The sequence below is a fragment of the Homo sapiens genome, chromosome 11 (genome assembly GCF_000001405.40).
Source record: "Homo sapiens chromosome 11, GRCh38.p14 Primary Assembly".
Classification (NCBI taxonomy): domain Eukaryota; kingdom Metazoa; phylum Chordata; class Mammalia; order Primates; family Hominidae; genus Homo; species Homo sapiens.
In genome coordinates, this window is record NC_000011.10 from 17,329,197 (window position 1) to 17,350,592 (window position 21,396).

Genomic DNA, 21,396 nt, shown 5'->3' on the forward strand with positions numbered 1-21,396 from the left:
CTTTCCTCAAGAAAGGAGTCACTTTCATAGCCACAAGCTGCACTGCCTGAGGTTGGGGGAGGGGTAGCACAAGCGTTCCCTTAGCCTCACCAGCTGGTATCTCCCCTGGTCACCTGCTACCCTAGTTCACTGGCTCTAAGCCCAGCCTAGCACTAGGAGTTGCCTAGGAATTACAGTCCTCCTTTCCTAGACTGCCTTTCAAGTTTACCTAGGACCCCAGAGCACTTCAGCCCGCATGGTGAGGCCTGCCAGGAAATTCAGTGCCCATTGCTGGGATGGGTGATTCTCCTCTGGCTAGGGCTGCTTCAAATGCTCCTATGCATGGGCAGTGGTGGAGCCCAGCACAGCTTTATTCTCTGCTGTGACAGGGCAGCACTGAGTTCAATGTAAAGTCCCCCAGTCGCTATGCTCCCTCCCCAGAGGGCACAGACTCTCTGTGCTGCAGGTCTGCCACGAGGGAATGGGAGAGAGGTGGCATAGGTGATTCAAGACTGTCTCTTTTGCCCTTCTCAGTGTCTTTGCAGGTGATATGAAGTTGAAACCAGGTACTGTGAGTGCTCACCTGATGTTTGCTTCTTGTGCTTTTCTGTGTGCAGACAGCTGTTAAAATTTCATGTTTCAGTGAGGGTTGGGGGGAATGACAAATTTTATTTCTCTTCCCACGTTCTCTTTGCCTCTTCTACCCAGTTCTCACTCTTTGCCTTTAGTTGTCAATCCCAGAAGAGAATCTCTTGAGTTTTTCTTCCTGTTTTTCCTTTTGTTCAAATGAGTACATAAATATATATTACTTATTTCCCCTTCCTTCTTACCTCCAAAGGCGTAATCCTATAGATACTCTTTTATACTTTGCTAACCATAGAATTTTAAAGCTAAATCAGACTTTATTGTTGTAGTTTTGAGATTATTCTTTCCTCATTTTTTTTCTTTTAGACATTAGATCAGCAACAGTTCTTCACAGAGGAAGAACTAAAAGAATATGAAAATATTATTGCTTTACAAGAAAATGAACTTAAGAAGAAGGCAGATGAGCTTCAGAAACAAAAAGAAGAGCTACAACGTCAGCATGATCAACTGGAGGCTCAGAAGCTGGAATATCATCAGGTGGCATTTTGTCAAAAGATTATGGCATTAAAAAGATTTTAGGTGCTTTGTTAAAAGCCTGTGTTTTTGTAACATATTTCATTGTACTATATAGTACACTGCTATAGCTATACTATAGTATTTTAAATTTTAATACTTTAAAACTGTTTTGTGGAATATTAATCTAAATTTTATTTTATTTCATTTTATTTTATTTTGAGACAGCCTGTCTCCCAGGCTGGAGTATAGTGCTGTGATCATAGCTCACTGCAGCCTCAAACTCCTGGGCTCAAGTGATCCTCCCACCTCAGCCTCCCCAGTAGCTAGGACTACAGGTGCATGCCAGTGTTCCTGGCTAATGTTAATATTTTTTGTAGAGACCAGGTCTCATTGTGTTGCCGAGGCTGGTCTCGAACTCCTGGCCTTAAGTGATCTTCCCACCTGGGCCTCTGAAATTGTTGGGACTATAGGCGTGAGCCACTGCACCTAGTCAAATCTAAATCTTATAGTTTGAATATCTTTGTTTTAGAAAACAATTTTCATTTACTTTGTTGTGCTTTGTCAAAGGTCACACATATGATAGAAAATCAAGTTATACTTTTAACTTTCATTTTCCATTCACCAGGTCATACAGCAGATGGAACAAAAAAAATTACAACAAGGAATTCCTCCATCAGGGCCAGCTGGAGAATTGAAGTTTGAGCCACGTGTGTAATTTTGTTTGATTATTTATTTAGGAAAATAAATTATTTTATCAATTGAAATCCACATTTATTACAAATATAATTTCAAATCATTAAGATGTTATGTTATTTTTTGTGTATTTTTTGTGGTATTAGAGCAATTTAGATTATAGAAAAATGAAAATGCCTCCAAAAGTTTTATGTAGCAGCAAATTTTAAGTGCTGTATCATTTGTATAATTTGATAACCATATTTATGGTAAAATGATTTATTTCAACTTTATTTGTAATTCTTTCTAATTATATTAATCTTACCAGAGAATATGTTTTTTAAAATTGTGATCTATGATTAGCTAAGCATATTTTTTAAAACAAGTATATTTGTATATGAAGGAACATTTAGAATAAAGGAAGATACTTTTAAAATAAGAACTTTTTTCTTTTTTCCAACAGACATTTAAAGTCTGAAGTCCACCAGAACTTGGAAGAAAGCTGTTAACTCAACATCTATTTCATCTTTTTAGCTCCCTTCCTTTTTCTCTGCTCAATAAATATTTTAAAAGCATATTTGAAATAAAGGGAGATACTTTTTAAATGAAAACACTTTTTTTGGGACACAGATATTAAAGGATTGAAGTTTATCAGAACCAGGAAGAAAACAAACTCACTGTCTGCTCTCTGCTCTCACATTCACACGGCTCTTTTATTTATTTTTTTGTTCTCCTTTAATGATTTAATTAAGTGGCTTTATGCCATAATTTAGTGAAACTATTAGGAACTATTTAAGTGAGAAAACTCTGCCTCTTGCTTTTAAATTAGATTGCTCTCACTTACTCGTAAACATAGGTATTCTTTTATGGGTGCTTATCATTCCTTCTTTCAATAAATGTCTGTTTGATATTAACAATTCTGGAAAGGCCACAGTATTTCCCTGTGTTTCCTGGTAACGTTTTTCTAGTTTTGGCAACCTCAACTGCTAGAAATTCTTCACCTGAATCACTTTTGCTACCACTTCAGGTCATTTTTCATTCTTTTTTATTTTGCTCTATACTTTATCATTTAAGATTAGGTTATGTTACATATAACAGAAAAAACAAAGATAACAGTGGTTTAAACTAAATAGGAGTTTTTCTTCTTACATAAGTCTAGAAGTAGGTGGTGTCCAGGTTCCTATCTTTCTGCTCTGCTATCCTCAGTGCATGATTTTTATCCTCAGATTACCTCACTCTCACTGTTCAAGTTTGCTCCTGGAGGCAGTGGGGAAGGCAAGAAAACTGGACTTTCTCTGCTTGAGTTAGCTTCCCTGAGGCCATTTTCCAGAACCAGCAGCACCTGAACTTATGTTTCGACCAGAACTGGGTCACACTGATGGCCACACCTAGCTGCTAGGGAGGCTGAGAAGTCAATGTGGCAATGTGACCAGCTAAAAGTTGGATTCTTTTACTAAGGAAGAAGGGAAGAGGGAATGTTTGGTAGGCAACTTTGGATTTTAAACTCAGCCAGCCTTGTTGGCTACCTAAATTCTGTGTACCTTCTTCTTCCGAGAGAGAAAACACTCACCCCTCTCTCCCTGAAGAGAAACCACCAGAAATCCAGCCCATTATTGCATACTAGATGAAAGACCATGCTATCTGGAGACAGTCCCCTCCATCATGTTAGGGTGTGGCTCCTTGTGTTCTGGCCACCTACAAACTGAAAGACAAGTTTTCTGCCCTGAGAGCACCAGATGCATAATGCAAAGGTGCAGGAAAACTGACCTTTTAAATTTTTTAGAGACAGGGTCTTACTCTGTTGTCCAGTCTAGAGTACAGTGGTGTGATCATAGCTTACTGCAGCCTTGAACTTCTGGGCTCAAGTGATCCTTCCACCTCAGTCCCCCTAGTAGCTAGGACTACAGGCACATGCCACGAACGCCTGGCTAAACATTTTTTTTTGTAGAGATGGAGTATTGCTATGTTGCTCAGGCTGGTCTTAAACTCCTGGTCTCAAGCAATCTTCTCACCTCAGCCTCCCAAAGCACTGGGATCACTGGTGTGAGCCACCATGCCCAAGATCCCTAAAATTGACCTTTTAGAAAAAGGGAGAAATAGAAATATAGTGGCCACTGATCCATAGCAATTTGAAAGTACCACTTGGCAAAAATAATTAAATCTCTCTGCTATAGTTCATGAATATATTCCTTGGTTTGCCTATCAGGCAACCCCTGATTCACCTTTCTGAGAGGAATTCCTTTACCTAATGTCCTCAGGGGGCCTTGGTTTTACTTTCTTGGAGGTTTTTATTGTACATTAATTTTCAGACACAATCTGAATGGGCATTGGAAAGTATACCCTTCTTGGAGGCTGGGCAGCCTTAGCAGTTTACTTCCTATAATTGTGAGTCTGGGGGCAGGCTTGGGAATTAGAGTATAGATCCGTAACAGCTACAGTCTATTGCAGGCCAGGTTTGGGTTTTTGTTGTTGTTTTGTTCTGTTTCTTGGCCAAGTGGATTCCTAAAACTTTAGTAAGTTTCTGGTCTGTTGTCTTCAGTCATTTACATGGACAGTATTAACCAAGGTAAAATACATTGTTTTTAACAAAGAACCTCATCATTTACTTGCTGGCCTCTGTGTGCTCTCCATCCCCTTTGTTCTTACAGGAATGGTACCTCCTTGAGATCCTTTGAGACTGTAGGCTTGCATGGAATGGCAACAGTCTTAATCTGATCTCTTCCCCTAGGATGGCTCCTATTATTTGGCAGAAAATTCTTAAGGGAAGGTTCTTAAAAAAGGTTGAGAAAGTTTTAGTAGCTCCCTCAGAGCCTTTACTTATAAATGTTTCAGTTTGGAGTACAGTTTTCAATTCTTCAGGGCTCCAGATTTGGGACTTGGTCAATTTATATGGTAGACAAAGAGCAATTCTCTCAGCAAAGCTATTTTTCCCTTGCGTCACTGCAGACTTGTTAATCTTAGTCCAAGTCACATATCTCTTGTAGGGCTTTGCTGAAAAGAGGCAAGAAGCAGCCAACACATGCTAGCACTCTGAAGTTCTACCACCTTCGTCTCTGTGGCAGGAAGTCTCAACCTCACCTTGACTTCTGTTGGCAAGAAGTCTCACTGCCCAAAGCCCTACCTCCTCAACTAAGCCAACCCCAGATTTAGGGCCTTCGACTTGCTGTGCTTTACTTCTAGCTGCCAAATTCTGTATAGGTCAAGATTCTTGGCTGTAAGCAATGAAATCTTCTTTAGCTATTAAACAGAAGGGAATTGATGAATGAGTATATATAGGTCACAGAATCAATGGGAGGGTTGAAGAAACAGATCTAGGCTGAGCTTCTAGGAATTATGTCACAAGAGTAGGCTGCTGAAAGAGCTGCTGCTTTTAGAACAATCAAGAAGCTGCCTGCTGGATTAGGAAGCTGCCTGCTGAACAGTTGCCAGTTCCAGAGCCACACCACCTCTGCCATGCTTTATGCCAGCAAAAATAGATACATCTCTTCCTGCCTCTGTCCCCACGTTACTTGGCTCTGAGTAAAAGTCTCAAGTGAGTGAATCTGATGGACTGGACCAATCATATCTGAAACCCTAGCTGCAAAGGAGGTTGGGAAATATAATGTTCAACTTTCCTACCTCTGTGTGACAGGAATGCATGTTAAAAGCTACCCTAGGCCGGGCATGGTGGCTCACGCCTATAATCCCAGCACTTTGGGAAGCCAAGGTGAGTGGATCACCTGAGGTTAGGAGTTCCAGACCAGCCTGGCCAACATGGTGAAACCCCATCTCTACTAAAAATACAAAAATTAGCTGGGTGTGATGGTGCACACCTATAGTCCCAGCTACTCAAGAGGCTGGGGCAGGAGAATTGCTTGAGCCTGGGAGGTGGAGGTTGCAGTGAGCTGAAATCATGCCACTGCAATCCAGCCTGAGCCACAGAGCAAGGCTCTATCTCAAAAAAAAAAAAAAAAGGCTACCCTAGCACCTCACAAGTTTACATTGTTTCACTTAATAATTTTTAAACTGTTAGTCCTTATTTTATAAATTTTTAGATGATCATTGCATATTCCTCCAAACATACTTAAATAATGGATCCCAAAATTAAATATAGCAGTTTAGAAAAGTTATATACAGCTTTAAAAACCCTACAAAAACCACTCAATGTAGTAATAGTGCTTGCTATTTTTTTTAAGAAATGGAATAGAATCTCTATTGCTTAAATTATAAGCAATAGAATATCTCTATTGCTTAAATTATAAGCAATATGGAAAAATGGTTTGGAATATCCTTTTGTTGATGACTACTATCTGTGACATGAAACTGATAAGACATTCTTTTGGGTAAACGTTTTTAGATGGTAAACTGTGGTTAAATCGAATTAATTGGAAGACATAGAGTAATTTCTTGAAATGCTTTTTTGGCTCAAGTAAATGATGGATATTAATGTAGAAATATTTCACAGTTTCCAGCAAACTAATGTAATTTATATTATTCAGAAAAGAATTACTAAGCCTGAAATTATGGATTAAGGAATTGTAATTTTTTGAGTACTAGGCATTTATGAATGAATATTATTTCTTTTTTTTTTTGAGACAGAGTCTCACTCTGTCACCCAGGCTAGAGTGCAGTAGTGCGATCTCGGCTCACTGCAACATGTGCTGCCCAGGTTCAAGCGATTCTCCGGCCTTAGCCTCCCAAGTAGCTGGGATTACAGGCACCTGCCACCGTGCCTGGCTACTTTTTGTATTTTTAGTAGAGGCGGGGTTTCACCATATTGGTCAGGCTGGCCTTGAACTCCTGACCTCGTGATCCACCCGCCTTGGCCTCCCAAAGTGCTGGGATTACAGGCGTGAGCCACCGCGCCCAGCCTATTATTCCTAAGAAAGTTGCAAACAGTATTCTTTTCAGTTGTGTTAGAAAGTATTGGTCTGTGTTTATACCATTCTTCTTCATATTTCTTTAGTTATTAAATGTCTTTGGTTTAGCTGACTTAGTGAAATTTATTACTAATTTGAAGTTTTGTTTCACATATGAATTTTCATGAAGCATGTACATTTTATAATATACTTAAGTAGAGGTTGAGCATTCCTTATCCACGGTGCTTGGGACCTGAAGTGTTTTGGATTTCGGATTTTTTTGTAGCTGGAATTAACAGGAGTGAGTCACCACACCCAGCTAATTTTTTTATTTTTAGTAGAGTCAGGGTTTCACTATGTTGGCCAGGCTGGTCTCAAACTCCTAACCTCAAGTGATCCCCCCACCTTGGCCTCCTAAAGTGCTGGGATTACAGGTGTGAGCCACCACGCCCAGCTTGCATTGTACTTTTATTGGTATAATGCAGGTGTAATCCAATATCTAAAAATTAGACATCTGAAATGAGCATTTTCTTTGAGCATCATGTTGGCACTCAAAAAGTTTTGGATTTTGGAGCATTTTGGGCTTCAGAATTTTGAATTTGAGAATCTTAAACTGTATATATAATTAAAATTAGATTCTGAAGTTAAATATTCTAGAATATTTAACTCTCACTAAAGACAATTTAGAACTATAATTAAAAAATACGCCTGTAATCCCAGCACTTTGGGAGGCCGAGGCGGGCGGATCACGAGGTCAGGAGATCGAGACCATCCTGGCTAACACGGTGAAACCCCGTCTCTACTAAAAATACAAAAAATTAGCCGGGCGTGGTGGCGGGCGCCTGTAGTCCCAGCTACTCGGGAGGCTGGGGCAGGTGAATGGCGTGAACCCGGGAGGCGGAGCTTGCAGTGAGCCGAGATCGCGCCACTGCACTCCAGCCTGGGCGACAGAGCGAGACTCCGTCTCAAAAAAAAAAAAAAAAAAAAAAAAAAAAAAAATACTCTGAGACATAGATATATGTTTTTTATGCCAAGATTTGTTTACAACAGCATTATTTTATGTACAATTGAACAGATTTGTATTATAATAAGATTAAATGCAAATCTTTCTCAGGAAAAATATAAAGAAAATTATAAAATTTTTTTGATAACATGATTTTTTTTTTCTTTTAGAGATGGGGTCTCTCTCTGTCATCCAGGCTGGAGTACAGTGGTGCCATCATAACTCACTATAGTCTCGAACTTCTGGGCTCAAGCAATCCTCCTGTCTCAGCTTCCTGAATAGCTGGGACTCCAGGTGTGTGCTTCCATGCCCGGCTAATTTTTAAATTTGTTGTAGAGATGGGGTCTTGCTATGTTGCCCAGGCTGGCTTCAAATTCCTGGCCTCAAGCAATCCTCCTGCCTCAGCCCCCTAAATTGCTGGGATTAGAAACATGAACCATTGTTCCTGGCTGTTAATGTGATTTTTAAGAGAGGGGTTAAAAAAATCTGTTAACTTAGAATAAAGTTTTGACAATCCCGGTTCTGGTTAGTGCATAAGTTTTCATCTTTGTTTTATAGCCATGAAGTACAATCAAGAAGAAATTGAAAAACAGTCAGAGTTAGATGATGAGCTTCATCGTTTGTCATGCAGGATTTTTATCCCCTGAAGAACCTGCTAGAGAAGTCCACCTTCACCCTTAACCACTGGTGCCTCAACTTAATACTTTTAAAATTCATTTGTTTCTGTTGGAATTGGGATACTAAGGTGTGTTAAGTAAAATACAATATTTACTTTTTCATTCCTTATGAGTGACAAAATGTCTGCTTTCCAGGTGTGAGATTTGAAGGAAATCAGACCTTTCCTTTATTTATTTATTTATTTTTTATTTTTGATACAGAGTTTCACTCTCGTTGCCCAGGCTAGAGTGCAATGGCTCACTGTAACCTCCACCTCCTATGTTTCAAGCGATTCTCCTGCCTCAGCCTCCCAAGTAGCTGAGATTACAGGTGCCTGCCACCACATCTGGCTAATTTTTTATATTTTTAGTAGAGACGGGGTTTCACTATGTTGGCTAATCTGGTCTCAAACTCTTGACCCCAGGTGATCTGCCCGCCTCAGCCTCCCAAAGTGCTGGGATCACAAGCATGAGCCACTGCGCCTGGCCTTTTCCTTGATTTTTAAAAAGACCTAATATCGTTAGTAGAATTCTAATCTTTCTCCACCTACTTTTTAATTTATTTAAAAAATGAGTTGTTAGCTATGAATTAGTAACCATTTCTTTAAAAGTCTAAGAACTCAGCCAGAAAAAGCAGCATCAGCAAGTGGTGAAGACACCAAATTGAAAAATGTGCATATATTGTTTCTAGCATTGCCAACCTGTTTATTGAGACAAAAGCAAATCAAAACCAATCAAACTTTTGATTTAGTTTTAGGAATTTAGATTTTTTCAAATATTGCTCATCAAATTATGTAGACAAACAATTATATTTCATGTTTTTATATATATATAATTTTCACAGCAGAGCTTTTAGTTTATATTTTAATTGATGTCAGCCATGCTCTTGGTGATCCTGAATGCCATGTAGCAGTTTGATTGTCAGCCAGCCCTTGACAGTGCACTTCTCTTTCTCTGCTCCACCCTCTGGTTACCATCAAAGCTCTGCATGCCTGTGTCAACAAGTTTTGTTTTACTAATTGTTTATAATCAATTGCAGTTAATAGTTTAAGTTTTGCTGGGAAAATTTGCTTACCTCCTTTTATTATTTTATAATTAGTAATAAATATATTTCCCAAGCCTTTCCAGATTTATGAATATATACCTCAGAATTAAAGTGTTACAATATTTATTTTACAATTCTTATAATTTTGGCTACTCTGTAGAATTTTTATTTTTATTTTATTTTATTTTTTTGAGACAGAGTCTTGCCCTGTCACTCAGGCTGGAGTGCAGTGGCGTGATCTCGGCTCACTGTAACCTCCGCCTCCCAGGGTCAAGCAATTCTCCTGCCTCAGTCTCCCAAGTAGCGGGGACTATAGGCATATGCCACCACACCTGGCTAATTTTTGTGTTTTTAGTAGAGATGGGGTTTCACCATGGTGGCCAGGCTGGTCTTGAACTCCTGACCTCAGGTGATCCACCTGCGTCGGCCTCCCAAAGTGTTGGGATTACAGGTGTGAGCCACCGTGCCTGGCCTATTTTTATTTTTTATTTTATTTTATTTATTTATTTATTTTTGAGATGGAGCCTCACTCTGTTGCCCAGGCTGGAGTGCAGTGGCGCAATCTTGCCTCACTGCAGCCTCTGCCTCCCGGGTTCAAGTGATTCTCCTGCCTCAGTCTCCTGAGTAGCTGGGACTCCAGGCGTGTGCCACCATACCCAGCTAATTTTTGTTTTTTCAGTAGAGACGGGGTTTTGCCATGTTGGTCATGCTGGTCTTGAATGCCTGACCTCAGCCGATCCACCTGCCTCAGCCTCCCAAAGTGCTGGGATTACAGGTGTGAGCCACTGTGCCTGGCTAATGGAATTTTCAAATGAGTAATGATTTATTTTCCACATGATTTCAAAGTTATGACTAGTCCAAGTGATTTTTTTTATTATACTTTAAGTTTTAGGGTTCATGTGCACAACATGCAGGTTTGTTACATATGTATACGTGTGCCATGTTGGTGTGCTGCACCCATTAACTCGTCATTTAACATTAGGTATATCTCCTAATGCTATCCCTCCCCCCTCCCCCCACCCCCACAACAGGCCCCGGTGTGTGATGTTCCCCTTCCTGTGTCCATGTATTCTCATTGTTCAGTTCCCACCTATGAGTGAGAACATGTGGTGTTTGGTTTTTTGTCCTTGCGATAGTTTGCTGAGAATGATGGTTTCCAGCTTCATTCATGTCCCTACAAAGGACATGAACTCATCATTTTTTATGGCTGCATAGTATTCCATGGTGTATATGTGTCACATTTTCTTAATCCAGTCTATCATTGTTGGACATTTGGGTTGGTTCCAAGTCTTTGCTATTGTGAATAGTGCCACAATAAACATACGTGTGCATGTGTCTTTATAGCAGCATGTTTTATAATCCTTTGGGTATATACGCAGTAATGGGATGGCTGGGTCAAATGGTATTTCTAGTTCTAGATTCCTGAGGAATCGCCACACAGATTTCCACAATGGTTGAACTAGTTTACAGTCCCACCAACAGTGTAAAAGTGTTCCTATTTCTCCACATCCTCTCCAGCACCTGTTGTTTCCTGACTTTTTAATGATTGCCATTCTAACTGGTATAAGATGGTATCTCATTGTGGTTTTGATTTGCATTTCTCTGATGGCCAGTGATGATGAGCATTTGTTCATGTGTCTTTTGGCTGCATAAATGTCTTCTTTTGAGAAGTGTCTGTTCATATCCTTTGCCCACTTTTTGATGGGGTTGTTTTTTTCTTGCAAATTTGTTTGAGTTCATTGTAGATTCTGGATATTAGCCCTTTGTCAGATGAGTAGATTGTGAAAATTTTCTCCCATTCTGTAGGTTGCCTGTTCACTCTGATGGTAGTTTCTTTTGCTGTGCAGAAGCTCTTTAGTTTAATTAGATCCCATTTGTCAATTTTGGCTTTTGTTGCCATTGCTTTTGGTGTTTTAGACATGAGGTCCTTGCCCATGCCTATGTCCTGAATGGTATTGCCTAGGTTTTCTTCTAGGGTTTTTATGGTTTTAGGTCTAACATTTAAGTCTTTAATCCATCTTGAATTAATTTTTGTATAAGGTGTAAGGAAGGGATCCAGTTTCAGCTTTCTACATATGGCTAGCCAGTTTTCCCAGCACCATTTATTAAATAGGGAATCCTTTCCCCATTTCTTGTTTTTGTCAGGTTTGACAAAGATCAGATAGTTGTAGATATGCGGCATTATTTCTGAGGGCTCTGTTCTTTTCCATTGGTCTATATCTGTGTTTTGGTACCAGTACCGTGCTGTTTTGGTTACTGTAGCCTGATGCCTCCAGCTTTGTTCTTTTGGCTTAGGATTGACTTGGCAATGTGGGCTCTTTTTTGGTTCCATATGAACTTTAAAGTAGTTTTTTCCAATTCTGTGAAGAAAGGCATTGGTAGCTTGATGGGGATGGCGTTGAATCTATAAATTACCTTGGGCAGTATGGCCATTTTCACAATATTGATTCTTCCTACCCAGGAGCATGGAATGTTCTTCCATTTGTTTGTATCCTCTTTTATTTCATTGAGCAGTGGTTTGTAATTCTCGAAGAGGTCCTTCACGTCCCTTGTAAGTTGGATTCCTAGGTATTTTATTCTCTTTGAAGCAATTGTGAATGGCAGTTCACTCATGATTTGTCTCTCTGTCTGTTATTGGTGTATAAGAATGCTTGTGATTTTTGCACATTGATTTTGTATCCTGAGACTTTGCTGAAGTTGCCTATCAGCTTAAGGAGATTTTGGGCTGAGACAGTGGGGTTTTCTAGATATACAATCATGTCATCTGCAAACAGGGACAATTTGACTTCCTCTTTTCCTAATTGAATACCCTTTATTTCCTTCTCCTGCCTGATTGCCCTGGCCAGAACTTCCAACACTATGTTGAATAGGAGTGGTGAGAGAGGGCATCCCTGTCTTGTGCCAGTTTTCAAAGGGAATGCTTCCAGTTTTTGCCCATTCAGTATGATATTGGCTGTGGGTTTGTCATAGATAGCTCTTATTATTTTGAAATATGTCCCATCAATACCTAATTTATTGAGAGTTTTTAGCATGAAGTGTTGTTGAATTTTGTCAAAGGCCTTTTCTGCATCTATTGAGATAATCATGTGGTTTTTGTCGTTGGTTCTGTTTATATGCTGGATTATGTTTATTGATTTGCGTATGTTGAACCAGCCTTGCATCCCAGGGATGAAGCCCACCTTATCATGGTGGATAAGCTTTTTGATGTGCTGCTGGATTCAGTTTGCCAGTATTTTATTGAGGATTTTTGCATCGATGTTCATCAGGGATATTGGTCTAAAATTCTCTTTTTTTGTTGTGTCTCTGCCAGGCTTTGCTATCAGGATGATGCTGGGCTCATAAAATGAGTTAGGGAGGATTCCCTCTTTTTCTATTGATTGGAATAGTTTCAGAAGGAATGGTACCAGCTCCTCCTTGTACCTCTGGTAGAATTAGGCTGTGAATCCATCTGGTCCTGGACTTTTTTTGGTTGGTAAGCTATTAATTATTGCCTCAATTTCAGAGCCTGTTATTGGTCTATTCAGAGATTCAACTTCTTCTGGGTTTAGTCTTGGGAGGGTGTATGCGTTGAGGAATTTATGCATTTCTTCTAGATTTTCTAGTTTATTTGCATGGAGGTGTTCACAGTATTCTCTGATGGTAGTTTGTATTTCTGTGGGATCGGTGATGATATCCCCTTTATCATTTTTTATTGCATCTATTTGATTCTTCTCTCTTTTCTTCTTTATTTGTCTTGCTAGCGGTCTACCAATTTTGTTGATCTTTTCAAAAAACCAGCTCCTGGATTCTTTGATTTTTTGAAGGGTTTTTTGTGTATCTCTTTCAGTTCTGCTCTGATCTTAGTTATTTCTTGCCTTCTGCTAGCTTTTGAATGTGTTTGCTCTTGCTTCTCTAGTTCTTTTAATTGTGATGTTAGGGTGTCAATTTTAGATCTTTCCTGCTTTCTCTTGTGGGCATTTAGTGCTATAAATTTCCCTCTACACACTGCTTTGAATGCGTCCCAGAGATTCTGGTATGTTGTGTCTTTGTTCTTGTTGGTTTCAAAGAACATCTTTATTTCTGCCTTCATTTCGTTATGTACCCAGTAGTCATTCAGGAGCAGGTTGTTCAGTTTCCATGTAGTTGAGTGGTTTTGAGTGAGATTCTTAATCCTGAGTTCTAGTTTGATTGCACTGTGGTCTGAGAGATAGTTTGTTATAATTTCTGTTCTTTTACATTTGCTGAGGAGAGCTTTACTTCCAAGTATGTGGTCAATTTTGGAATAGGTGTGGTGTGGTGCTGAAAAAAATGTATATTCTGTTGATTTGGGGTGGAGAGTTCTGTAGATGTCTATTAGGTCTGCTTGGTGCAGAGCTGAGTTCAATTCCTGGATATCCCTGTTAACTTTCTGTCTCGTTGATCTGTCTAATGTTGACAGTGGGGTGTTAAATTCTCCCATTATTATTGTGTGGGAGTCTAAGTCTCTTTGTAGGTCTCTAAGGACTTGCTTTATGAATCTGGGTGCTCCTGTATTGGGTGCATATATATTTAGGATAGTTAGCTCTTCTTGTTGAATTGATCCCTTTATCATTATGTAATGGCCTTCTTTGTCTCTTTTGATCTTTGTTGGTTTAAAGTCTGTTTTATCAGAGACTAGGATTGCAACCCCTGCCTTTTTTTGTTTTCCATTTGCTTGGTAGATCTTCCTCCATCCCTTTATTTTGAGCCTATGTGTGTCTCTGCACATGAGATGGGTTTCCTGAATACAGCACACTGATGGGTCTTGACGCTTTATCCAATTTGCCAGTCTGTGTCTTTTAATTGATTTAATGGTGAGAGAGAAAAAAAAATTGCATCTAGTTCTCTTTGCTATCTCCCATGAATCATTGCATTTAACATGTTATTTCTGCTCAACTTTAGTTCATTTTCAATGTGCATTTTTAGTGATGTCAGAGTATGTGTCATTTAATTAAATCCCCGCCCTTGCTTTAGATTTTCTGTGCATGGGGTGTGAGGCACATATGCAGTCTGTGCCATGTTGTATTTGTTTTGTACCATGTTGTTTGGCCTATTTTGCTTCCATGCTGTCCTCCATTGTTAAGGTGATTTGGAGTTGTTTTACTTTTGAATTTTATCCTTTCTGTTCTTGGTGTGACAACTTTCTAAATATTTCCTTATTAAAGTAGTGATATATAGATGATTTCCTTTTTAAAGCATATTTACTATGTCCTTTAATGTTTTAAACAGTTTTATGGAGGTATTTATTGAAGTATTTTTATCAAACATGACTATTTAAAATCCCTATCAACTTTGTGTAGTGATTCTTTCTTGTTCTATGACACTTAGTAATATATCTTAGAATTTGCATCTTAATTTTTTTCTAACTAAATCTCAGTCCTAATCCCATATCATTTTTTATTTCTTTTGATATGTGTGTGTATTTATTCCCTTTGATGTTCATAGTATGTTTCATTGAGGTTCAAGGTTGATTTTTTGGGGAAAAGAAAAAGCACCTTTGCAGAAAAGTCAGTTTTTCTAGAGCTAGTTAGGCAGGCCCTCATTCCTGGTTTGGTTTCAATTGCAGAGAGTTCTTGTATCTCTGCAGGGGAATTTCTGACTCATGGGGTGGGTCCCTGACTCCTTACTCCTCTCTGATTGAGTGAACCAGCATCTGGGGCAAATACGTAGCAGTCAGATGCTCTGATGAATGTCCCTGTTCAGTTCTTTGACTTTTTTGTATCCTCCTTAAATAATAATGGTTTTAAAGATAAGCAGAAGCCTATCTATAGTACTTTATAGATCTCAGCAGGGATTATTCATCTTACAGTTAATACAGGAAGAAACATCTTTGATACGGAAAGACTAGGGTGTTAATTCAGCAATCTCTGGTTAGGAGAAAAGTAGCCTAGTTTATTACTTCTTCACTACTTTTGCCTGGATGACCTGAATTTTAATCAAGAAGTTCTTTCCTCTCTATATGCGCTCCCCCATTTTCCCACTTTTGTATTGACTTTCCCACTATTGTATTTCTAATGCACCTTCTTAATCACTGGAGAAAGCTTTGAGGCATGTAAGAGGTCCTAGCACCATTTTCAGTCTTAAAGTTTCATAGCCACCAGCTTTATGGGACTCTATTATCAGGCCTTTCAAACAAATTCTTCCCTTCCCTCACAATCCCAAGCTATTGATCTTTTCTCTAAGGAAGCCTTTTGTATTACTAATTAAGACTAGGTGACTATATTAAAACAGGGTTATCTTCTAAAAGATTTATATAAATGATAAAACAGAGGCTAAGTATTTTTGTAAGGACAGCAATTTGAAGTCAGTTAATGCCTAGAGTGACTGTTTCATTCTTCTGCTATGGCTCTGGTGACTTCCTGATAATTCTGTCCGAGCCCCTGTGTCCAGTTCCAGGACCTAAGAATGGAAGAGCTCTGGAGGCTGAAGGTGGAAGATGGATCCCCCTTTCAGGGACAGTGAAAGGAGGGTTAATCTTTCCTGAAGCTGTTAGTCTGGTATCTATTAGCACACATGAGAATTAGAAACCTTGCAACTTTAGAAATAGTATCTGTGTAGTAAATGCTGTCTGTGTACCAATTTGTATAGCTTTTAATAGAAATATCTTATTTTTGGATGGAAAATGTGTGTAAGCTTGTGACTAAAATAGTTCTGGATGGAAGACCATTCAGTATCTTCTGAAAAAAAAATTGTCTTCTGGAACTAAAACATGAAAAAAAAACCTATCCATTATTGCTTTTTTTTAAATAAAGAAAACCAGTGCTGTGTAATCCATATTTTACCAATATTAATTATGTCTTAGAACCATTTAAGAATGATGGTTTACATATCCTATTTTAAAGTCAAGATTTTAAAGAGCTTTTATTTGTTATTACTAATTATTGGGAGAATATTGAAAAATTTTCAATTTAAATGTTGAATTAAAAATGTAACCTTTTTGGCTGGGTGCGGTGGCTCACGCCTGTAATCCCAGTACTTTGGGAGGCCAAGGCGGGTGGATCACGAGGTCAGGTGTTAAAGACCAGCCTGGCCAAGATGGTGAAACCCCATCTCTACTAAAAATACAAAAATTAGCCGGGCGTGGTGGTGGGCGCCTGTAATCCCAGCTACTCAGGAGGCTGAGGCAGGAGAATCACTTGAGGCCGGGAGGCGGAGGTTGCAGTGAGCCGATAACGCACCACTGCACTACAGCCTGGGTGGCAGAGCGACACTCCGTCTCAAAAAAAAGAAAAGTAACCTTTTATAAATATGGGGCTGAAAACGTTATTTTTAAATTTTGGAAAAAGTTCTACTAGCTTGAAGATTACTTAGATTTATTTTTTCTTGGCTTATTTAGATATTTGGCCTATTTTTAAAACTATAAATAAATAATTGGATTTTAATTTGATAGAGAATCAGAAAAACAGAGACTTTATATAATTTTTGTTACATTTGAATTCATTTTATAAATATATGTTGTAAAAATTCTTCCAGTGCAATATTTTTTGGAAAATATTGTTCTAGTCGTTGTTTGTATAGGTTTATTTCTAATTATATTAAAAGTAAAATTAGAAAAATATGTAATATTTGTTGTAATTTTCTGGGAAAAAAGATTTGACAATGTTAATAGAATGGATTATTTGTAAAACACCAATATTAGAGAGTCATAGAGCCTGAGTAAGGGCCTTAGATACTATCTTCCAATGAAGGAACCCCTTCTCCAGCATGGCTAGTAAGTGGTTATCCACCTCCTGCTTCAAGTCTTCCAGTGATAGCATTGAAGTGGAAATCACAGTGGTTTCCAGGCTTGTCTGCATATTGGAATCACCTAAGAGATACAAAAAATACTGGTACCTGGGTCCCATCTCCAGGTGATTCTAATATGCAGACAAGTTTGGGAACCAGTGGTAAATCATGTGGAAAAGCACCTCACTCTTTTTCATCATTAGAGAATCCATAATGGAAAGGAAACCTGGCTGATGTTATGAAGAGTCTAATAAGCATTTAGATGTCATTGAGAGCATTTATAGCCACACTCCCTACCCTTCAGTGTTGTATGATAAATAAATATTTCCATTTAAATTCAAGAACCATTTAATAAGATAGCACACTGACAGAGTCCATGATGTTGGTATAGTGGAAAGTCCTGGACTGGGTGTTAGGACTTCTAGCTGCCCAACTTTAAATAATTTTAGCCTTACAAAAAATTTGCAAAAATAGTATAAAGAATTCCCATATGCCCTTCATCTAGCTTCCTCAAATATCAACATGTTATATAACTACAGTAAAAGTATTACAATCAGGAAATTAACATTGATACAATTCTATAAACTAATCTGCAAATTTTGCCAGTTATCCTACTATAAATTTTTTCTGCGCTAAGATCCAATCTGGGATCACACATTGCATTTAGTTTTGTTATGTGTTTGTTATTTTGAAAAAAAATTAAATCATTGCAACGATAGTATAATGAATTTGTGAACCCCGAAAATTTGAGACAGGTCTCAGTTAATTTAGAAAGTTTATTTTGCCAAGGTTGAGGACACAGCCATGACACAGCCTCAGAAAGTCCTGACGACATGTGCCCAAGGTGGTCGGGGCACAGCTTGGTTTTATACATTTAGAGAGACATGAGACATCAATCAATATATGTAAGAAGTACATTGGTTTGGCCTGGAAAGGCAGGACAACCTGAAGCAAAGGCAGGAAGGCTCTAAGTGCGGTGGGAGCTTCCAGGTCACAGGTGATACACAAAGGGTTACGTTCTTTTGAGTTTCCCATTTTGAGTTTCTACCTTTCCAAAGGAGGCAAGTCAGATATGCATCTATCTCCGTGAGCAGAGGAGTGACTGAATAGAAACAGGGCAACAGGAGACAGGTTTACCCTAAGCAGTTTTTCATCTTGAGTTTTCCTTAGTGATTTTGGGGACCCAAAATATTTTCCTTTCACAAATTCTAGTATACCTTGCTTTCACTCTTTCTGTCCAATTCTTTGTTTGACTGAAGCGTTTCAGAATTAAGCTGCAAACATTGTGATCCCTTACCCTAAATATGTGAGCATCTCTTATGAACAAATATTTTTTTAATCATAACCATCATATAATTATCAAATTTGGGAAATTTAACATTGTTACAATACTATTAATCTAACACATAGTCCGTATTCAAATTTCACCAACTGTCTCAATACTGTCCTTTATAATAATTTTTTCATGATCCAGGATTTGTGTGTTGGATTTTGTTGTAAGGTCTCTTTAATTTCCTTTGATCTGGAATAGCTCCTCAGTTGTATTTTGTCTTTCATGACATTTACATTTTTTGAGAGTACAGGTCATTTGTTTTATAGAATGGCTCTCAATCTGCATTTGTCTAGACTGGTCTTTCTCACAGTGTGGTCTGTGACTGGTGCTGGTCTATGCCTGGCTGTTACCTAATGGTGAGAAGGCCAACCAACATTACTCATGCTGTTGGAAACTTTTATAGCAATTCAAAAATAATTTTATGTCTTTTGAATCTAAGAATAAAAATTGAGGGCTTGGATTTTTATGTCTTTTTATTTCATTTCTCTAGTAATTCATTTTTATTTCACAAAATGACAGTTCTTCGTGGGTTGGACACTTATTTTTTATTTTTACTTTTATTTTTTAGAATTAAGAAAAAATAATAGAGACAGGATCTTGCTATGTTGGCCAGTTGGTCTTGAACTGTTGCCCTCAAGCAGTCCTCCTGCCTCTGCCTCCCAAAGTGGGTGAGCCACCATGCCTGGCCAGGTTGGACACTTTTAAAGAGTCCTTCAGCACAGCTACTTGGAACAACAATGGTCTAGAATGAGGTGTTTTTTGTTTGTTTTTGTGTTTTTTTTTTTTTTTTTTTTTTTTTTTTTTTTGGAGACAGAGTCTCACTCTGTCACCCAGGCTGGAGTGCAGTGGTGCAATCATGGCTCACTGCAGCCATGACCTCCTGGCCTTGAGCCATCCTCCCTCCCACCTCAGCCTCTCAAATAGCTGGGAATATAGGTGACACCACCACACCCAGCTAATATCTTGATTTTTTTTGTGGAGATGGGGCCTCACTATGTTGCCTAAGCTGATTCCAAACTCCTGAGCTCAAGTGATCCTCCTGTCTTGGCTTCCCAAAGTGCTGGGATTACAGGCATAAGCCACTACACCTGGCCTAGACAGATTTTTTGAAGCTAAGGACTGTGCTTTAGCCATCGCTGAATTCGTCACTCCTAGATTGTGCCTGGCAGAGTTCAATAAATTGTTGCTGAGGGGCAACTTGAAATGTCCCATTCCTTTAATAGAAAAGCTTTCCTTTCCTTTTTTTTTTTGAGACAGAGTCTTACACTTGTCACTCAGGCTGGAGTGCAACGGCATTGATCTCGGCTCACTGCAACCTCCGCTTCCCGGGTTCAAGTGATTCTCCTGCTTCAGCCTCCCGAGTAGCTGGGATTACAGGCGTCTGCCACCACACCTGGCTAAGTTTTGTATTTTTAGTAGAGACAGGGTTTCACCATGTTGGCCAGGCTGGTCTCGAACTCCTGACCTCAGGTGATCCACCCGCCTCGGCCTCCCAAAGTGCTGGGATTACAGGTGTGAGCCACCGCGCCCAGCAGAAAGCTTTTCTTATACTGAGCCAAAATCTCTCTCCAACTTGCTTTTGCCTTCAAGAACATCACCTAACATGTGTACTCACATACACAGGTGTTAGCTTTTCAGAGACTTACAAGACTGGTACCATTTCTTAAACCCCCAGGCTACTCCAAACAAAATGGGCTCAGCTCCTTTACTCATTTGTAGTGATTAGGATTAGGTTCTGCTGAAAATGAGAACATTTTAAATAAGAGTAGCTTACTGACTTTATTTCTTATGTTCCACAGGTCCAGAGGTGTCCTTCTAAAGCTGGTAGAGGTTTCACGAGTCATCAGGGACCCAGAACCCTTCTCTTTTGCTGTCCCTTTGTCCTAGTGCATGGTTTCCACACTGTGGTGCAAGATGTCTCCTCAAGCTCTAGGCATTACATCTGCTATCCTGCTGTCAGAAAGAAGGAAGGGGAAAAGAAGATCATTTCCTTCTCTTTAAGGACATTTCCCAGAAGTCACACAGAACATTTCCATTTATATTACTTTGGCCAGAACTTGGTCATATGGCCACATTTAGTTCCAGAATGATTAGGAAATGCAGTCTTTTATTGATCCCTGTGCCCAGGAAAATATTGGAGGCCTTTTTCAAGGAAAAAGGGGAAAACAGATATTGGTTGACAAATAGCAGTCTCTGCCATACTGTCCCTGGATACATGTCTTTGAGTGAATGTCCCTTATTTACCATTCTGATTACTTGTTGGATATTTTCAATATGTGTTACAATATGGTTCCAAAATTGTATGTGATATTCCAACAGCAAGTTGGATGCAATGTGTCATAAAAATGACCTCAGTGTCAACCAGCATTTGAATACCGTGTCTCAATGCTGTGCACCAATAAAGAACACAGAAAGTCAGAGTTTTCCATAAATAATTCCTGAGAATATATGCTTATTTTGTTTGAGAAGCATCGTGAGGTATCTGCTGTGTGCTTTAGGGTTGAATGGAAAGTTGGCAAAAGTATTAAAAGACATGTTCAGGCCGGGTGTGGTGGCTCACGCCTGTGATCCCAGCACTTTGGGAGGCCGAGGTGGGCGGATCACTTGAGGTCAGGAGTTCAAGACCAGCCTGGCCAACATGGTGAAACTCTGTCTCTACTAAAAATACAAAAATTAGCTGGGTGTGGTGGCAGGCACCTGCAATCCCAGCTACTTGGGAGGATGAAGCTGAGGCACAATAATCTCTTGAACCTGGGAGGCAGAGGTTGCAGTGAGCTGAGATCACGCCACTGCACTCCAGCCTGGGCAACAGAACGAGACTCTGTCTCACCAAAAAAAAAAAAAAAAAAAAAAAAAAAAAAAAGATGTTCAAATAGACATGATATTGGTAAAAACGAAAACACAGGTAATGACTTTTCATTCTAATGAAATATAAATAGAGAAACCTGCCGGTTTTACCCTTTAGAGTAAAAAGGGTACAAAAAAATTACCAAAACAGTAAAAATTACCAAAAGAGTAATTTGATAATTTCTACAGGGTGATGTGTA

At 39.0% G+C, this 21,396-nt stretch overlaps 1 protein-coding gene and 1 long non-coding RNA gene across 54 annotated transcripts in view; both read left to right on the forward strand.

The window, feature by feature from the left end:
* NUCB2 (nucleobindin 2) overlaps positions 1-20,784 on the forward strand; it is a 73,242-nt gene extending 52,458 nt beyond the window's left edge. For 30 of the 53 annotated variants that reach the window (XM_047426988.1, XM_017017812.3, XM_047426992.1 and 27 more), the window contains 3 exons: positions 931-1,101; positions 1,706-1,787; positions 2,216-3,015. In XM_047426988.1, the coding sequence (XP_047282944.1) occupies positions 931-1,101; positions 1,706-1,787; positions 2,216-2,223 (261 nt within the window). In that variant the 3' untranslated portion in view covers positions 2,224-3,015. Of the gene's footprint in view, positions 1-930; positions 1,102-1,705; positions 1,788-2,215; positions 3,016-20,148 lie in introns of those variants that run through there. The other 23 variants (XM_024448553.2, XM_024448538.2, XM_024448540.2 and 20 more) reach the window with 1 other exon arrangement.
* Positions 7,943-16,849, forward strand: LOC124902640 (uncharacterized). Its single transcript, XR_007062608.1, has 2 exons — positions 7,943-8,338; positions 12,605-16,849. It is a non-coding gene; the product is annotated as an uncharacterized LOC124902640 (long non-coding RNA).
* Positions 20,785-21,396: the final 612 nt, after the last annotated feature.